Below are 18,178 nucleotides of genomic sequence, written 5' to 3'. Positions count from 1 at the left end.
TGCTTTTGGCAAATTAGTACTTCAGAGCAGGAGCCCAGAGGTTTCAGGTAATCCCAGTCACCAAAATGTTTGTTACAATATAACATCATTACTTTTCACTTGGGAACCTTTTATTTTGTTGGGCCCTTTTCTTTCCTGTTTTCTTTTTATAGCCATTTATAATTCAGGGATTCAGGCAAAGAAATACAGCCCTTGGACCACAAGATAGTTATATTCAGCAAGATTTTCAGAACTTGTACAGCTATGATTTTTCTCAGTAATCTTGGCTAGTTTGTGAAATTAATGGCTTTAGAAATATTCTCAAATGGTTTAGAGGAGAGTAAAAAGAATCTTTTGAAACATTGTCCCATTTTGTTAATTCAAGGAGATTATAGTGCAATTGAATGTAATTCCCATAAGAATGGATATAGCAAAAGTATGTCTTTTTTTTTTTTTTTTTTTTTTTTTTTCTTTTTTGTGAGACAGACTCTCTCTCTGTATCCCAGGCTGGAGTGCAGTGGTGAAATCTCAGCTCACTGCAACCTGTGTCTCCCAGGTTCAAGTGATTCTCCTGCCTCAGCCTCCCTAGTAGCTGGGACTGCAGGTGCCCCCGACCATACCCGGCTAATTTTTGTATCTTTAGTAGAGACGAGGTTTTGCCATGTTGACCAGGCTGGTCTTGAACTCCTGAGCTCAAGTGATCCACCCGCCTTGGCCTCCGAAAATGCTGGGATTACAGGCATGAGCCACCGTGCCTGGCCAAAAGTATGTCTTTTTAATAATTGAGAAATGATGTCTTGAGCAGTCAAGTAGGAACAATTACTTGGTTGTCCTTGTGTAATGTGCAGAAATTAAGGAAGATGATTTTTCACGAATCTACATAGGACCTATCAACTATAAGGAAATATATTAGTAAACACTGTTTCTACATCCTGATGCTTGTAGGTTTCCTTGATGTTGAAATAGTGTTAGCACAGATTTGTTATTTTTCCTCTTTCTGATTAATCCAAACCTGGAGTGTGGCCCTGGTTCTCCGGCTGCAGAGAAGTCAGTCCATCTTTTGTAGGCTCCTTTTCTGTTTTACATTTGTCGGGCTCACTACTTGAGCTTACTCAGCAACCTTTAAAGCTCTAAATCCTCGTTAGTCTTAAACTCCCCAGCTCATATTTGGCCGGCAACTCTACTTGGCATTTCAGTAATTTCCCACTTGCCAGCTCATCTTTTACCAAGAATCAAAAACCATTCTGATCTTTAAAGAAATGCAGATGAGGCCGGGTATCGTGGCTCACGCCTGTAATCCCAGCACTTTGGGAAGCCGAGGAGGGTAGATCACGAGGTCAGGAGTTCGAGACCAGCCTGTCCAACATGGTGAAAACCCATCTCTACTAAAAATACAAAAATTAGTTGGGCATGGTGGTGCGTGCTCATAGTCCCAGCTGCTCGGGAGGCTGAGGAAGGAGAATCGCTTGAACCAGGGAGGCAGAAGTTGCAGTGAGCCAAGATAGTGCCACTGCATGCCAGCCTGGGTGACACAGTGGGACTCCGCCCCCCCCTCCCAAAAAAAAAGAAATGCAGATGAGAAAAGACCCTTTCTAGGACACAGAGAATAAACTTGCAGCTGTTAAGGAGTGGGAATTTCTGCCACACGTGGATGTCAGAAATGGAAGCTTTTATTATCAGGAGAAATATTTGCTGGTTGATGTTACTTAAATAGGTTCAAATTTCAAACAGTTCTAAGAGCCTGTTGAATGTCCGCTATGAAGAGTTGATTTTGCCAAGATGGAAAAAAAAATCTCATCTGGTTGCCTTTTAACGCCTCTGTATGATGTTAGATACAGGTGTACTTCTTGCCTTTTCACATATTGAAGAAAACAGTGAGAGTATCTAGAAAACGGGGGACCTAGATGGAGAGACTGAATGCATGAGGGTTAATGCCAGTTTCCTCATATTACAACCCAGGCTTGAGCAATATCTGATTTTTTAATGCTTCACAGAAAGCTAAATAAATGCCTATGTACTGTGGTGGTTCCATTCTTGTTCAGTACCATCTTGGCTTCCTTTCAGGTAAGGAAGAAATTGAGCAGTGATTGTAGCAGTGATTCCCCTGTGGGGGAATGCCCTACTATGGAATACTCTGAGTGTGTGACATGTCGCCGTTTACCCAAATCCTTGAAGTTAATGAGTAAAACGGCAGAATACAATCTAGACTCATAGATTCTGAATTTTGGAAGTGAAATTGATCTTAAGATAATGAAATCTACTATGTTTATAGTTTGATATTTTTTGTTATACCCCTGACATAGTACTTTGCTAATCACAGGAGTTTGATAAGCATTTGATAACTAAGCAATGTATAAGCTAAGTCACAAAATGAAAAGATTGATTTTGGCAGTAACCGATAATTTGAGGTCTGTTGTCTTGTCTCAAGTGTAGTCACTGCTGATTGTTAGCACCTTTCTGAAACTGCAAAAGAAAAACTAAAAATGGACCAGGAATTAGCGTAGGAAAGTATAGATTAGAAGACCCAAAGTGAAACAAATGGAAAAAGTTTTTTTTTGTTGTTGTTAAGTATACATATATTAGAGATGGGGGTCATTACTGTGTTGCTCAGGCTGGTCTTGAATTCCTGGGGTCAAGTAATCCTCCCACCTCAGCCTCCCAAGTATCTGGGACTACAGGTGTGTGCTATCCTGCCTGGCTAAATGGCAAAAGTGAATAAAGAGGTGCCAGGGAATAGAGGCCTCCTGTGTTGGTGTATTGAAGTCGGAATACCTGTGCCTGCATCAGTTCTGTGTTGATATTGTGAGTGAAGTGAAGTAGTAACTCTGCAATGAAGATACTTTCTTTAAAAACTTGAACACTTTTCTGTTATATTTTACAGTAGATTGATTGGCTCATTGTTGCATACTTGTATGATTATTTCTTAGGGTGTATTCCTACAAGCTATTGTTGGTTCAGAGGGTATAATCACAATTAGAATTTTTATTTTATTTTATTTTTTTAATTTTTTTTTGAGACAGGGCCTTGTTCTGTCACTTAGGCTGGAATGCAATGGTGCGATCTCGGCTCACTGTAACCTCCGCCTCCCGGGTTCAAGCAATTATCCTGCCTCAGCCTCCCGAGTAGCTGGGACTACAGGCATGTACCACACCTGGCTAATTTTTGTATTTTTAGTAGAGATGGGGTTTCACCATGTTGGCCAGGCTGGTCTCAAACTCCTGACCTCAAGTGATCTGCCCACCTCGGCCTCCCGAAGTGCTGGTGTTACAGGCTTGAGCCGCTGTGCCCAACCAGAATTTTGATGTATTCTTATATGGTTCTTTCTTAAATCAAAAATATGTTATTTGTTCAGATTAAGACAATGTTGGGTGTTTATTTTTAGTTTCACATTCCTTACTTATTAGAAATATATTTTTTATAGCTTTAACACATCAGCTAAAGCTTGTGAAAGTTGCCTTTGTTAACATGAATTCCATTTTCCTTTTAAAAATTAAATCATGGCACCCTCTACTGAATTTGAAAGGAATTGCTGAATAGTCATATGCAGGTTTGAAAAAGACTGTATGACTTTATAGATTAGACTTTGTTGACACCTATACTTACTATTATGATCCTTTTTGCTCACAGGCTCCTCATTAGGCAGTGTGGTAACATACATGTAATTAAACCTATATTTTGAAGCAGGCAGAGGAACTAGAGTGATCAAATTCAAAGAAGCATGAAATAACACAGTGTGTTCAGGGTTGTAGTTTTATAGAAAACTTGAGAGAGGGTGTTGGTGTGATTTTTGCAAAGAAAGCAATAAGAAAGGACCAAGAGCATGTCTCAATTTAAGGAATTTAAACTTTATCATGAAAGTGCGGTTGAATCATCAGCTCGTTTATTTAGAGTAGTCAAGTGATCACGTAAGGATCTTTGAAAGATGATGCTGGCAGCCTGTGTAGGATGGGTTGGAGGTGGGAACAGACCAATTTGAGGATTACTGTGTTTGCCGATGGGCTTATTAGGGTTCTCAGAAGGCACATAATTCTGGGATATAAGAGGCTGGGAGATGTGGAAGTTCTTTTTTTCCCCTAAAAAAGTTTTAGCATAAAAATTTCAAGATATATAGAAAAGTAGAAAGAATAGTACAATGAATACCCATATGTCCATCTTAGATCCAGCAACAGATGACATTTGGCCATATGTTCTCTCTCCCTCTCCTCCGCCTCTCTGCTGAAGTATTTTTGCATAAATTACAGACACCATTACTTGACACCCCTAAATACTCTATTGAGCATCTCTCCAAAACAAAGGATGTTAGGAGAGAGATGTTTAGGGAAATAAAATCAGGAAAGTTAGAATTTGGTGGTATAGATAATGGGTTCTGTTACATCCAATAGGAGAACCACAAAGGCTTGCTTTTACTGTTAGTAATTTGTGGTTATATAATAGTTTCTTTCTACAGTTTTTTTTTTTTTTGAGACTTTCAAGAGATGGATATATAGTAAATGCTATTACATTTTAAATCAAAATGTTGAAAAGGACACTTTTTTCATCAACAAAAATTTCAAATGTGCACAAAAGTTGAAGAGGACATCATTCTTGGCTAAAACAATGGCCCATGCTAGACTTCTCCATGCGAGAAGAGAAGTGGAGCCATTCCAGAGAGGAGTGGGCTAGGCTCCTCCCACCAGGGGAAGGTGCAGGCTCTCTTATCATATCAGAAGCCCAGGTCAGCAGAAGTTTGTGTGAGAAAGGCACGCAGCCAGCACAAGTGTGACCCAAACCCAGTGAAATGGTGAGAGTGGGCAGCCGGCAAGCTGACTGGCACTAGCAGAGTCTGCTTACTCGGGGAAAAGGGAGCACGAGATGTCAAGGGGACTGGGCACATATGACCTTTTTTGGCGGTGTACAAAGTCTCTCTCTGTTGCCCAGGCTGTATTGCAGTGGATCTCAGCTCACTACACCCTCTGCCTCCCAGGTTCAAGCAATTCTCCTGCCTCAGCCTCTCGAATAGCTGGGACTACAAGCGTGTGCCACCATGCCCGGCTAATTTTTGTATTTTTAGTAGAGATGGGGTTTCGCCATGTTGGTCAGGCTGGTCTTGAACTCCTGACCTCATGTGATCCCCCCACCTTGGCCTCCCAAAGTGCTGGGATTACAGGCATGAGCCACTGTGCCCGGCCAGATAGTGACCTTTTAATATCTAATTTGTTGACAGTTTTCCTACTATACTTTTGGTCTAGTAAATATTTTTAGGTTGTGATCAATGAGATTAGCAGTCTTTTTCCTTTGGACAGGAGAACTAAGAAGAGGACAGGCAGAAACACAAAATAAATAATATATATAAAATATATAATATTATCATAGCTAAAATTGGTAGGAATTCCAGTAGTCACTCATTCATTTTTTCATTCATTATTCAATTAATGTTTGGAGCCACATATTATTATGGCAGGCACTATTCTAAGACACCAGGAATTCAGCAGTGAATAATGCAGACCAAACTCCCTGCCCTCTCATAGTTTCTGTAAGTCATACGTTGCTTAACGACAGGGAGACGTTCTGAGAAATTTGTTGTTAGGCGACTTGGTCCTTGTGGGAGCATCCTAGAGTGCACTTAGGCAAACCCAAATGGCAGAGCCCACTACACACCTAGGCTGCATGGTGCAGCCTGTTGCTTCTAGGCCAGAAACCTGTACAGTAGGTGACTGCACTGGATATTTCTGGCAATTGGAACACAGTGGTAAGTATTTGTGTATCTAAACATACCTAAACATAGAAAGGGAAGAGTAAGAATATGAGACCACTGCCATATATGTGGTGTGTGATTGACAGAAACATCATTATGCCCTGCATCGCATTGACTGTATTCTAGTAAAAGACAGACTCTAGACAAGAAGAGTGAAATACGCATAGCTCATGAAGTTGGGATGGGCACAGGCAAAGATCATTAAGTGGAATTAGGAAGGTGTGAGGGAGATTTTAGAAAGGGAGGCCAAGGAAGCTGAGAAGATGCCACCTGGGGAAACACCCGGGAAACCTGAACCACTTGAGCCGCGTCGGAGTGCACAAAGCCTCCTGCTTGGCGTTTACATCATTTTCCGTTTCTTGTGAGGGCATGTCTCCTCCCGGGAGTGTATGAATAGGAAGTGGCTGACAGCTGGCTTCCATGTGGTCTTAGCAGGCCCTGTTTTTCCCAGCCAGGTTCCCCTTCTAGCCCTCAGATTTCTTGACACTAAATTGGTCATAAAGTAAGTTCTCCTAATCAGATAGATTCATTCCAGGGTGTGTTAGTCTAAGAGAGTTTGGCTAGCAGTCCACTAGCAGGCTGTGCACAGCTCTGTGAAATGCTCTTTTCTGTAACCATTTCCCGTGGTTTTTGGACAATGACTGGCATGTTACTTTCCTTAGCAACTTAATTTTTGCTCCGTCTTTACATAACTCTTTGGAAATGTTAACTTTTCCCCTTTTCTGTTCATTTGTTTCACTGTAGAAATGAAAATACTCCTATTCAGAGCTATGACATACAAATTAAAAATTTACAAAGTATACTCAATAGATTCCAGCAGCTAATATTCATGAAGTATAAAAATTGAGGTTATTGAAGAAAGTGACATTAAAAGGTGTATGAACAATGCAGTGCTCTTAAAGTTTCTCTTGGGTATAGCTGACTTCAAATGTAAGAGTCTCTACCGTTTAATACATAAAGGGCTAATACAGAATAGATTCTCTTCTAGTTCATAAAGGATGCACTGTTCTCTACAATATAACATTAGGATTTTGAATTGTTTGAAGGGCTTATCTTGGTTTGTTCTTAGCATTGGAAATAAAATAGATGAATATGCTAGAAGAATGGAAACATGGGTATAAGCTCATACACAGATAAGTGAGGATTTCCTTTAGGAGTATAAAGATAGACCACCATGGAGAAAAACCTAACTTAATATAAAGTTGTTTGTGTTATATATAATGAATGCTTTGGATTATATATTTCCTTTTATCACTGTCTGTTTAAGATAGCTTCAAAACATACATACATAAATATACATGATTGCAACCATTGTGTGTTACATTTAGTTTAACTTTTTAGTGCTGTCCTTAATTTGAAAATGCATACAGTTAACTTTAGTATTATGACATAATTATTTACAAACGAATCAATTTTTAGAAAGTGTATTTTTTGATAGCTCTGATATAGGGCCTAGGAAACTGACAAAACTAGACAATTTACATGAGTCTGTTGTCAGTAAACACATGAAATCATCTTTGTGAATGTCCAGATTTATTACAGATGTTTCTAGTAGCCCACAAATTTTTGGAACTATTGTGTTGAACCACTTAATATTAATTAGTACTTAGGAAATAACAATGTAAATACTTAGAGTGAATGATTTATTTTATTTTAAAATCATACTATTGATATTTGTAAATGAGCAGTATATCAGTCATAATGGGCTATGTTGTATTTCAGTAGCAAATAACTCCAACAACACATTTATTTCTTGCTGCTGCTGTATATCCATCACATGTTGGTGGGGTACTGTGCTCTATGTCAGGGACTTGAGCTGATGGACTTGTCATTATGGGAAACATTAGACAACTTGGGAAGGAGAAGATGTATGATATGATTCAATTCTGTGTCCGTACCCAAATCTCATCTTGAATTGTAATCCAAATTGTAATCTCCATGTGTCAAGGGAGGGATCTAGTAGGAGGTAATTGGATCATAGTGGTGGTTTCCACCATGCTCTTTTTGTGATAGTGAGTTCTTACCAGATCTGATGCTTTAAAAGCGTTTGGCAGTTTCCCCTATCCTCTGTTTGTCTCGCCTGCCACCACATAAGACATGCCTTGCTTCCCTTTCACCTTCTGCTATGATTGCCCAGCCTGAAAATTTATAAAAGAATTAAAAGTGATTTATGCATCATTACAATATTACTGTATCTTATATTTGTTCATATATTCAGCTTTACCAAAGAGCTTTATATTTTCATGTGGTTTCATGTTGCCGTCTAGCGTTCTTTCATTTAGACTTGAAAGACTCCCTTTAGTATGTGTAATACAGGCATAGTGGCAACAAACTCCCTCAGCTTTTGTTTATTTGGGAAGGGATTAATTTATTTTTCATTTTGTGGGACAGTTTTGTCAGATGTAGTCTTCTTGATTGGCAGATTTTTTTTTTCACCACTTTGATTGTATCATCTTACTTCAACCTGCAAAATTTCTGCTGAGAAATTCACTGATCCTCTGTGGATGCTTCCTTGTACATGATGAGTCATTTTTCTCTTGCTGCTTTCAAGATTCTCTCTGTGACTTTTGACAATTTAATTATAATATGTCTTAGCATGAGTATCTTTGGCTTTATCCAATTCAGTTTCTTAAGCTTCTTGAATTTTTGTGTCCATTTCTCCCCTCACATTTGGGAAATTTTCAGCCATGTCCCTTTCTCTGTTCTTCTCAGACTCCCATAGTGCGTATATTCATCTGCTTGATGGTGTCCCATTAGGTTCTTCCCTTTTCTTCATTGTTTTTTCGCTTTTGCTCTTCTGACTTTATAGTGTCATATGATCTATACTCAAGTTCACTGATTTTTTTTTTCTGCTTGATCAAGTCTGCTGTTGAGCCCCTCTTGTGAATTTTTCAATTCCATTATTGTATTTGTAAGCTCCAGAGTTTCTAGAAATAGAAACTTTTAATAGTTCTGTTTCTCTGATTCTGTTGTTATTTTGTTCATGCATCCCTTTCCTGACAGGTTGCTGTGAGCCGAGATCGCACCACTGTACTCCAGCCTGGGCAACAAGAGCGGAACTCTGTCTTGAAAAAAAAAATGTGATAAAAGCGGCCATCTGTTGATTGGCTGCTATATATGGGTTAGATGTTTTACTTTTGTTATTTCATTTAATCTCATTTCATTAAGTAGCTTGGCCAGGATCATGGAGTCAGTAAGGCGGGGCTTGGGTGTGATCTTAGGTCTGTCTGATTTCAAAATCTGTGCTCTCATTGTTAGGCTGTGCTATCTCCCTATAGGTAAAATGATGAGGTGACTCTGACTTGGAAGGGAAAGACAGCGGATCATTATTCAGTTTTTAGGGACATATGATGATATGGGTTCCATTCTCAAGGAATCTAGTGGGGGACATTGATTGAACAAAAAAATGTAGAATTATATTGATGTACGTTAATTACAAAAAAGGACTGGTTTCTGCGGTAGAGAGGACTTAAGGGAATGCCAGTGGAATGCTGAGATGAATCTGAAATTGAGAATTAGTCAAGGAAAACGTAATCAAGAAGTTGTATCACTCTTCTCTGCCCCCAACAATTAGAGGAAAGAGATACAGAGCAAAAATAGTGGGTCATTGATGGTCAGTGGTGTAATCTTGAAGATTTAGCCAAGACTTTTTAGCAGTAAGTGGTAGAATATAAATGCAATGGAAAGGCAGTCATCATCAGAGAAGTACCCCAGAGGAGAAGTGTGGAGGATGTGCCAACACTATAAATGCTGCCATTTTTGCTTAAGGAGAGTAAAAAAGGAAAATGGGGTCATGGTGCACTCATTGTTGTAGATGGTTTGGGTAGTCTGGAATGAGTTCATTGCCTGCAAGTGCTAGTTCATTCATTACACCTATGCTTGCAGAGAAGGGGCGGTTGTGTGCCTTCCCGAGCCCGCACTAGATGAGTCCCTAAGGGTCTTGTGGTTAATACTCCTTCCTGGCAAATGGACCAGGGTTCCCGGCAGACTTTCCTAGCAGCCTTGAAGCCTGGGTCTCTTCGCCTGGGGATTATAAAGCAGCATGTTCTCTTGTTTCCTTTCTGAAGTCTTTAAAGGTTTATAGGATTCTTTTAGTGGGATTCTTCTTTTCTGTTGCTTCAGCATTTCCCTTTCCATGTGTGGAAAGGACATATGTTGGTTTTATATTAATCATTGAACCCCATTGGATTTGTAAAATGTGAGACATTTTGATCCTTCATAATCTTTTTTTCTTGAAAACTAGGAATTTTTGTTTTTGGTTGTATAAATCATCTTTTCTTACATACAACATCCTAATACTTGGCCAGTTGTAAGTCTGTTTTTAAATTCTTTATGTATAGTGACGAGTCTGAGATACTTGAGATAGCCAAAATTGAAATGCAATTTTGTTTATGATTAAGAACTGAATCTTTAAAAATTTTCACAGTTTTGCACAACAAAACAAAATAGATTTTTTTAACTTTCTTTTTGAATGTATAAATAATGACCAGTAAAAATGTTACTAGAAAGCATGCTACTTCTAGATCCTTAAGTCACTAGCAGATAGGATGTAAGGATATAGAATAGTGGTCAGCAAACTTGGCCCTCATTCATTTCTGGAAATCAAGTTTTATGGGAACACAGTCATACTCATGTACCTATTGTTTAGGTTGAGACCATACGGACCACAAAGCCTAAAATGTTTACTGTCTGGCCCTTTACAGAGAATGTTTGCCAAACCTTGGCATTAGAGAAGCAATTCTCAACATTTTTGGGCCTCAGATCTATACTCTTAAAAATTATTGAAGGCTCTAAAGAGTTTTGATTATGTGGGTTATATTGGTTTAATTAATTTAAAAATAACTATTAAATTTGCTTCATGTTAACACAAATAACATTTTTATGAAAAATAATTTTACCCTCAAAACAAAAACATGAGTGAATTGCAAATTTCTTTAATTCCTGGCTCAACAGGAGACCTTTATATTTTTGTATCTGTGTCTACTTTCATTTTGTTGCTGTATGTTCCGGTTGAAGGATATGAAGAAAAACTGAACTTACAGAGATCTGTAGTTGGAAAAGGGAGGAGTATTTTAATAGCCTATTCAGTTAACTGTGGATATTTGCTGTTACACCAAAGATATATGGCAGTTTCTTAAAGATAAGTTTCAGTGTAAAATCTGAAAGTATAGAAATAAAATTATTGTATTGGAACTTTAAATCCATTGATCAATCTTGAGCTTTTAATGGATGTCGTTCATGCATGATTTTCTAATGTGTTAGTAGAAAATGGGAAAATATTGGTTCACCGAATCATGCAGATCTTCCCAATGTTGATACAAAATGCCAAAAAAAAAAAAAATCACATTTGTTAATACCACCGTGGGTCTTCTCAGCAAAGGCTTTGGGCATTGAGAAGCTGATAGAACCAGTGCAAAGTGGGGACTTGGTTCCACCATGCGTGTATTTCAGTTAACATAGCAAAATGAGCCTCTAGTGGATGCAAGTTTTTAAAATTCTGATTTTTGCTTGGAAGCTCATTTTTATCATTAGCAACATATACTGTTTTTGGTTTCCCTTGAAAGTATGGACTCTATTTATCTTCAAGAAAATGTTTGCCAAATACCGAAGCTTGAATAACCATAGTTTGTCTTCAGTTGTTCTTTTAAGTTAAAAAAAAAAAAGTTCCATGATCAAAGCAGCCAGTATAACTCACAACTCAAATCATTGCACAAGTGTTCTTTTGAGACAGTATTTCCTTTGTTTATAGCAGCAGTTACTTTATGTGTGCTTCCCCTTATTCACACAGGATGTTAAAAAGAAGGGTACTCAAGAGTCAATTAATATTAATTTTTACTGCTTCATTAAGGATATTCTATAATGAACCTTCCCTCTCCCCTCCTCCTCTTCCTGCTTTTCTTCCTTTTCCTCCTCCTACTCTGAATGAGCATCCTTGGCAGTGAAGAACACAATGTTGAATAGTTTCAATTTGGTGCCATTATCCTGACTCATGCTCAGGTGCCAGTGGTTTTACCAACTGTGACCATTGCTTTTCACCATTGGTGCAAATGCTGGTACAGTGCAAAAGACAAATAACATCTCAGTACTTTCTTTAGTAATTTTATGAAAATAGTTTGACTTCATGGACCCCTCTGGAAGGGTCCTGGAGACCACTAGGGGTCTGTGGACCATGCTTTGAGAATGGCTGGTATAAAAGGTACAAGTACCATTTTATATAAGCAGATGTCTGCCACTTAGTATATGTTGCCTCCTTTTATTCTTACAATTATAATTTATGAGGGTCCAAATATGTTAACAGATATAAGTCTGCTTCTTGCACTGGCTAATAGAACTAATGAGTCTTTCAGATTGAGCTTTTACAAAAATCTGTGATAGATTTTTTTTTAAAAAGTTTACTCTTGTTTGTGTTATTTTATTGCTCTATTAGGTTTTGAAAATGTAACTTTTGAGTATGTGTATCTGGTGAAATAATCTACAGTTGGATTTCTGAGCACACTTATTCTTCTGAAATGATAGATTGCTAACATAATTATTAAAGTAGTTTATGATGACAGTTAATTACAAGTTTTCATATTCTTGAACACTTACCCAAATTTAGAGGAAATGTATTTGAAAAGTACTTGGTTTCTTGTTGATATATATTAACTGTGTGTGTGTGTATATGTTCACATTAATAAAAAATGTTGCAGACTATGGAATTAATTATTTACTGAAAACAAGTTTTAAACACTTGCACTTCTGTGGTTGACCACTAGATGTCATGAGTGCCACGGGAGCATTAAGAGTTACCCAGAGTGGGTAGAAATTGAACGTTGTAAGCTCATAGACCTTCACATAGTTCACTGTTTCCACATGATCAGTGCCAGAGGAACCTGATACAGTGTGATATATAGAAGCAAGGTACAACTGGAATAATGAAATTTCAAAAATAAGCCCTTTTAAAGGAGGGTTGTAATCGTTCTATTGGGTATTGTAAATGCTTCAGGTGCACTTGATACTGCTGTTATGTTCCTGGCTTTCGGGTCTTTCTCTTTTTTATGGAAAGATGGATTGAACTTCAATTTAAGAATATTCGGTAATCCCTCTTAGGACATACTTTACAGCTGGTATTTTTGTGTTGTAGTAAATCGATTCCATACAACAGTCAGTAATAATTATGGCTGCGTTCCGACAAATTCCAAAGCATTTTCAATGAATTTTGCCAAAGAAAATAACATCATTACTACAAAAGTTTAACTCAGTTTGAAAGTTAAACCTAGCAACTTTGCTTCATTCCACAAAATACAAAGTATTACTGGTTAGGATTCTGTCAAACCATTTTTTAAATTCATATGCTTGTATATGGTCTGAGAAGGTGATTACTTTGTAGTATATATACTTAAAAGATAATTGTTTTGTAGTAAATGATACAGCTTTGGAAAAATTTAACCTTGAGTGTTCATTATGAAATAAAAAACAAGAAATATGAGGGCTTTTTGTATATGGCATAGATGAACAGCAGCAATATCAGCTCAAAAGGATATTTTGATTTGGAATGTAAGGTCTTTAGTATTAATGGAATGTGAATGTTTCAAATTGTATGAAATTCTAATTGATATAAGCATATGTTGTCTTATTATATGGTGTGTATGGTTTACAAGCATGAAACATTGTAAGTTCTTTAAGCTGTGAAGAAAGTGATAGGTTGCATGGTGTACATGGTATAGCATATGTGCAATCTATACCATATAAATTTAGGCTTTTCTCATGACATAAAGAAACTTAAATTACATATATATACACACACATATAATAAATACCTACTCACAAACATACATGCATATATATTGGCCTAATGGTACAAATGTGTCTGCAGACATTTTAGAAATTTTAATTGATTTTCATTTTTTAATATTAGCAAAACAAAAGTCTACTAATTGACTGTGTTCTTTAAATTATACAGTCTTTTTTTGACTTTGAATTACTTCATTTCTAGCCTTGCTTTATATAAGGAACATTTTCCTGTAGTTGAATTCATCACACTGATTTTTTAGAATAATTTATGAAGGCAAAGCAAAGTTGCTTTCAAAATTGTTAGAAAAAACAGCTCCATACGTGTGCATTAGTGAAATCTTGCCTCACATTTTTAATTTTTAGCTTAGTCAGCTATATTTTCATTTGGCATTTCAAATAACAATTCTTATATTTTAAATTAGCACTCTTTTCTATATGGATTTGTATGCATGTTTTAACTATGTCAGCCTTTGCAATAACATAAAGGAAAATTCAAGGTATTACAGCAGATAGTCTGGTCTAAAATAATCCATTTGATGGTGAAGTTTTTAATACGAATTTTCACTTTAACAATTAAAAAGCAAATTTAGAAGGCTTTAATAGAATCTTACAGTTTGGATTTTTTAAAGTAAAATTTGGCAAGTTCATTTCTCTTTATTCTGCAATTTGAATCAGCAACTTAAAGGCTTTCAGAATTGATGTGAACCAGTCTTTCCAGTGTTTCCAATGTTTTTTTGTTGTTGTTAATATATGTTAAAAATATGCTTCTAAATTACTGAATTTGCTTTATAGAGAATTGAGGAAAGTGCATTAAAAATGAACTTAAAACACAGTGTATGGTTCTTCTGATTTCTACAAAAATGTAAATGGAGTACTTTCTCTGTTATTAGCCAGGGGTGATCCAAATTTAAACCAGATGGCCTCCCTCTAGGTGTTAGGCCAATGTAAATTTTAATCTTGCTACTTTCTTTTGTGTTTTCATTGTATAATCTCATTACCTGAATTAAAAAAAAACCCTAACAACCATTGTTTCTTGTTTATTTACCATGTGTCAGACACTGCATTATATGTCTGAGTATATTTAATTACCAAATAGTTCTAATTTACTATTGTCTCTATTTGCATATAAGGAAGTTAAGGCTTAAGAAGATGAAATACCTTGTTGAAGATCACAGAACTAGCAGCATTAAAGATTAGGTCAAACTCTAGATCCCTTGTTCTTAGCTACTATGCTATACTGCCTTTACTGCTTATTTGAGGATAAACATTAGTTAAGATAGTTATTGAAAAAAAAGTTAATATTTTTCCAGATAAAGCAAAGGTTAGTTTTTACTAAAAGAATTTACTTATGTATGCTAGCTTGGATTGTTAGATTTACTTTGGATTACTAACACTTCTGTAAATCTATAATAACATCTTGCTTCCATTCTAGTAAATATTCCTTCAAGGTTAGTTGCAGACATCAGTTAGAGAACCATGCATTTGTCATATTAGGATGAGCTATTTAAAAAAATACAATTAGGCTGGGTCCGGTTACTCACACCTGTAATCCCAGCACTTTGAGAGGCCAAGGCGGGCATATGACCTGAGGTCAGGAGTTCAAGACCAGCCTGGCCAACATGGTGAAACCCCCGTCTCTATTAAAAAAAAAAAAATTAGCCAGGCTTGGTGGCGGGCCCCTGTAGTCCCAGCTCCTCAGGAGCCTGGGGCAGGAAGAATTGCTTGAACATAGGAGGCGGAGGTTGCAGTGAGCCCAGATCGCACCATTGCACTCCAGCCTGGGTGACAGAGTGAGACTCCGTATCAAAAAAAAAAATAAAAATAAAAAAATAAAAATTATAAGTTGCTGACAATTTATATAGTCTCTGTTCTACATTTAGAAATGTAGCTGAGAATTATAGTAACACAGGGAAGGAAGTTGAGAATGACATTGACTTACAGAAGCTTCTTAAAATTATCCACGTATCCAATCAGTGTTCCTCAACCCAAATGTAAAAATCTTTAAGGAATCCTCAACACACGCATGCAGAACATTCATGTTTTCAATTCGAAGTTGCTTGTCAAGATCAGAAACTCTCACAGTTTGTACTTGCATGTGGTCTGTAGAAAAAATTCTGAAGAGTTGCGATCTCTCCAATAGTGATTGGGATGAGAATTTTGAATTAGTTACAGAATGTTGTGATTTGGTGATGGTCCCTTTTTAAAAAATATAAATGTTTCTTTCCTTTCTAGAAACGGCTTACAAAATATACAGATCTTGGTAGACAACGTGGCTGCAGGCTGTTGAATTGGAATTCCCTGTGGCTGTCCGAAGGCAGGGTGTCCGGAGAGCGGTGGGCTGACCTGTTCCTACACCTTGCATCATGCCAGCTTTGTCAACGGGATCTGGGAGTGACACTGGTATGTGACCCCAAGAGGGGCAGTTCTCATTCCATCTTTGCTTAAATCTTGTTCACAGTGAAATACAGCATGCTTTAAGCAAATGCAGGCAGATCATGCTTGTTTTTCTGTCACCAACACTAGGGACATAAGATCAACTCAGGGATGCCCTCCTAGGTAAAAGTTACTGGAGGACATGGACTCATTGCCTCTTTCTCTGGGTAGTGATGGCATGTGCAGATATTCTCATACTGTCTTGCTTTTAGAATAATTCTGTGCATTTAATTTAAAAAATTAAGTATTTGAAACTTATAGAAAAGTATGGCAAATACTGTGATACCCATATTATCCTTCATTCATGTATAACAGCTAGGAACTGTTTGCCACACTTGATTCATATTTTTCTCTTTTTTTTTTCTTTAAGAAATAAAACATTATCCTTACCCCAATTCTCTGTTTTCTGTCTGTCACCAGAGGTAAAACTATCCTGAAATTGATACATACCATTAAGGGATTCAATTAAAACTAACAAACAAACATATTTTATGTTATTATCAGTTATAAGACTTTGAGATACCTAGAATAGGTATTTATAAGAAAGGAAAAAAAAACTAACACACACACATGTGTACATAAAATCCTCCCCTTCTGATCTGATTCAGGAAGTAGAAGTGTGGTGGTAGATGCCTCTTTGAGGTCCTGTTCTGGACCAGAATCAGCACTTTTTCAAAGTGTAAAATCCTGGATGCCTCTAAGAACTACTAAAACAAAATGTAAATGGGGTTGGGGGCCTTATGTCATGCATTTTTAAAGCCCCTTGAAAGAAGTGGTAACATAGTGTGACGAAAAGGAATGTTCTCTGTTTTATATGGGCCATCCTGAATTTGGTTGATATAGCTCTCAAACCAGCTGAGGTGGCTGTCTCAGATTGGACAATTACAATGACTGGTGCTATAATCTCAAAAACACCGAAACAGAAATTCAGTTTTATCTTGTATTATGTTACACTGGCATTTTCATTTGCACTATTTGCAAATATAATTCTTTGCTATTTCAAGCATATCCATAGTTATATTTTGGCAAGTTTTGTCTCATCTTTATCCATCAAGAATGATTTTTTTTTTCCGCTGTGATTTACATTGAGGATTCGTTTTTGTCAGGAAGAAGTTTTGATTGTTAGATTATGTAAAGCTTTTCTTTCTCAAGACCTTAACTTGGAAGCCAGACCCTTTGGAAATTTTTTTTCTTCTTTTTAGGTTTTATATAGTCCCACATTGTGTTCTACTTTATAAAAATGAATGATTTAACTTTCCATAGTGCTTTGGGAAATTATGGATAAAATTTATGTGAACCATAAATTTACTACAGTCGTGTAATGAATATGTTTTAAACCTTGCTGTTCACCCAAAATGCCTTAGTTTAATTTAATGCAAAATATCGTTGCTTACATATAACTTGAAGGAGGATTAAAATGGAGTATTTATAGTTTATAAGGCAGTTTAGGTGTCAGTCATGAAAAATAGCATAGGCTATTAAGAATTTAAAAGGAGCTTTTCCACACACAGCCAGCTCGCTGCAGTGCAAATCTAAAGTGCTGATCTGAGTGACACCTTGCTTTATGATGTTTTCTGACCTTATGTCCCCACAAGGTTTGAGCAAAGCACAGAAGACAAGAGTCTCTGCATTTACAGAAGCCGCAAAGTACGGCGTATGCATCAGATGTTTGCAACTGGCCAGTCGGGTCATTTTTCCCATAAGCAGCGTTGCTTAGCAGTGTCGCTGACGTCGTCCCATTAGTTCCAGGGGAACAGAGTTGAAGTCAGACCCTTGTGCCACAGGAGCAAGGCACCCGACTCACAGCAGCCTAGATGCATGGATTGCTCATTTGGGAAAATACGTTCTGTGTAAAACTTTTACCACTTCTTCTTTCCCTTCTTGCTTATTTCACGAAGAAAAAAAAAACTAATTATACAAGTAATACATAAAAACATGCCGCTTTCCCCCGATCTCATTTTTTTTCTCCGTTTGATAAGTAGCCTGTAAGAGTTTCCTGTGCATTCAATACTTGCATATATATGTCATTAATACATTGTTTTTGAGTCTCTTTTCCTTTTGTTTTTAATCACAGATTTTGTTATGCCCTATTTATTATTCTTCAGCTTTTTTTCTACACCAAGCTATATTCTTGGAGAGATATTTCCGTGTTAAATATAGAAAAGTGTTGGTGTGTTTACGCACGTTTATCTATATCTCTCTATACATCTGTGTATTTATCTCATTCTTTTAAACTAATGTATACTTTTCCATCATATT

The 18,178-nt window shown here is 37.0% G+C and overlaps 1 protein-coding gene across 17 annotated transcripts in view; it reads left to right on the top strand.

The window, feature by feature from the left end:
* The window catches only part of MPP7 (MAGUK p55 scaffold protein 7), a 284,211-nt gene that overhangs the window by 80,750 nt on the left and 185,283 nt on the right, over positions 1 to 18,178 (top strand). For all 17 annotated transcript variants that reach the window (NR_134518.2, NR_134517.2, XR_007061944.1 and 14 more), the window contains one exon: positions 15,719 to 15,886. Coding sequence is in view for 12 of the 17 variants with exons in the window: in XM_017015741.2 (XP_016871230.1) it covers positions 15,719 to 15,886 (168 nt within the window). In the remaining 5 variants the exon portion in view is untranslated. The remainder of the gene's footprint in view (positions 1 to 15,718; positions 15,887 to 18,178) is intronic.

Source organism: Homo sapiens, chromosome 10 (assembly GCF_000001405.40).
Source record: "Homo sapiens chromosome 10, GRCh38.p14 Primary Assembly".
Lineage (NCBI taxonomy): Eukaryota > Metazoa > Chordata > Mammalia > Primates > Hominidae > Homo > Homo sapiens.
The sequence above is the reverse complement of the archived record's forward strand: the minus strand, read 5'-3'. Positions and strand labels throughout refer to the sequence as shown.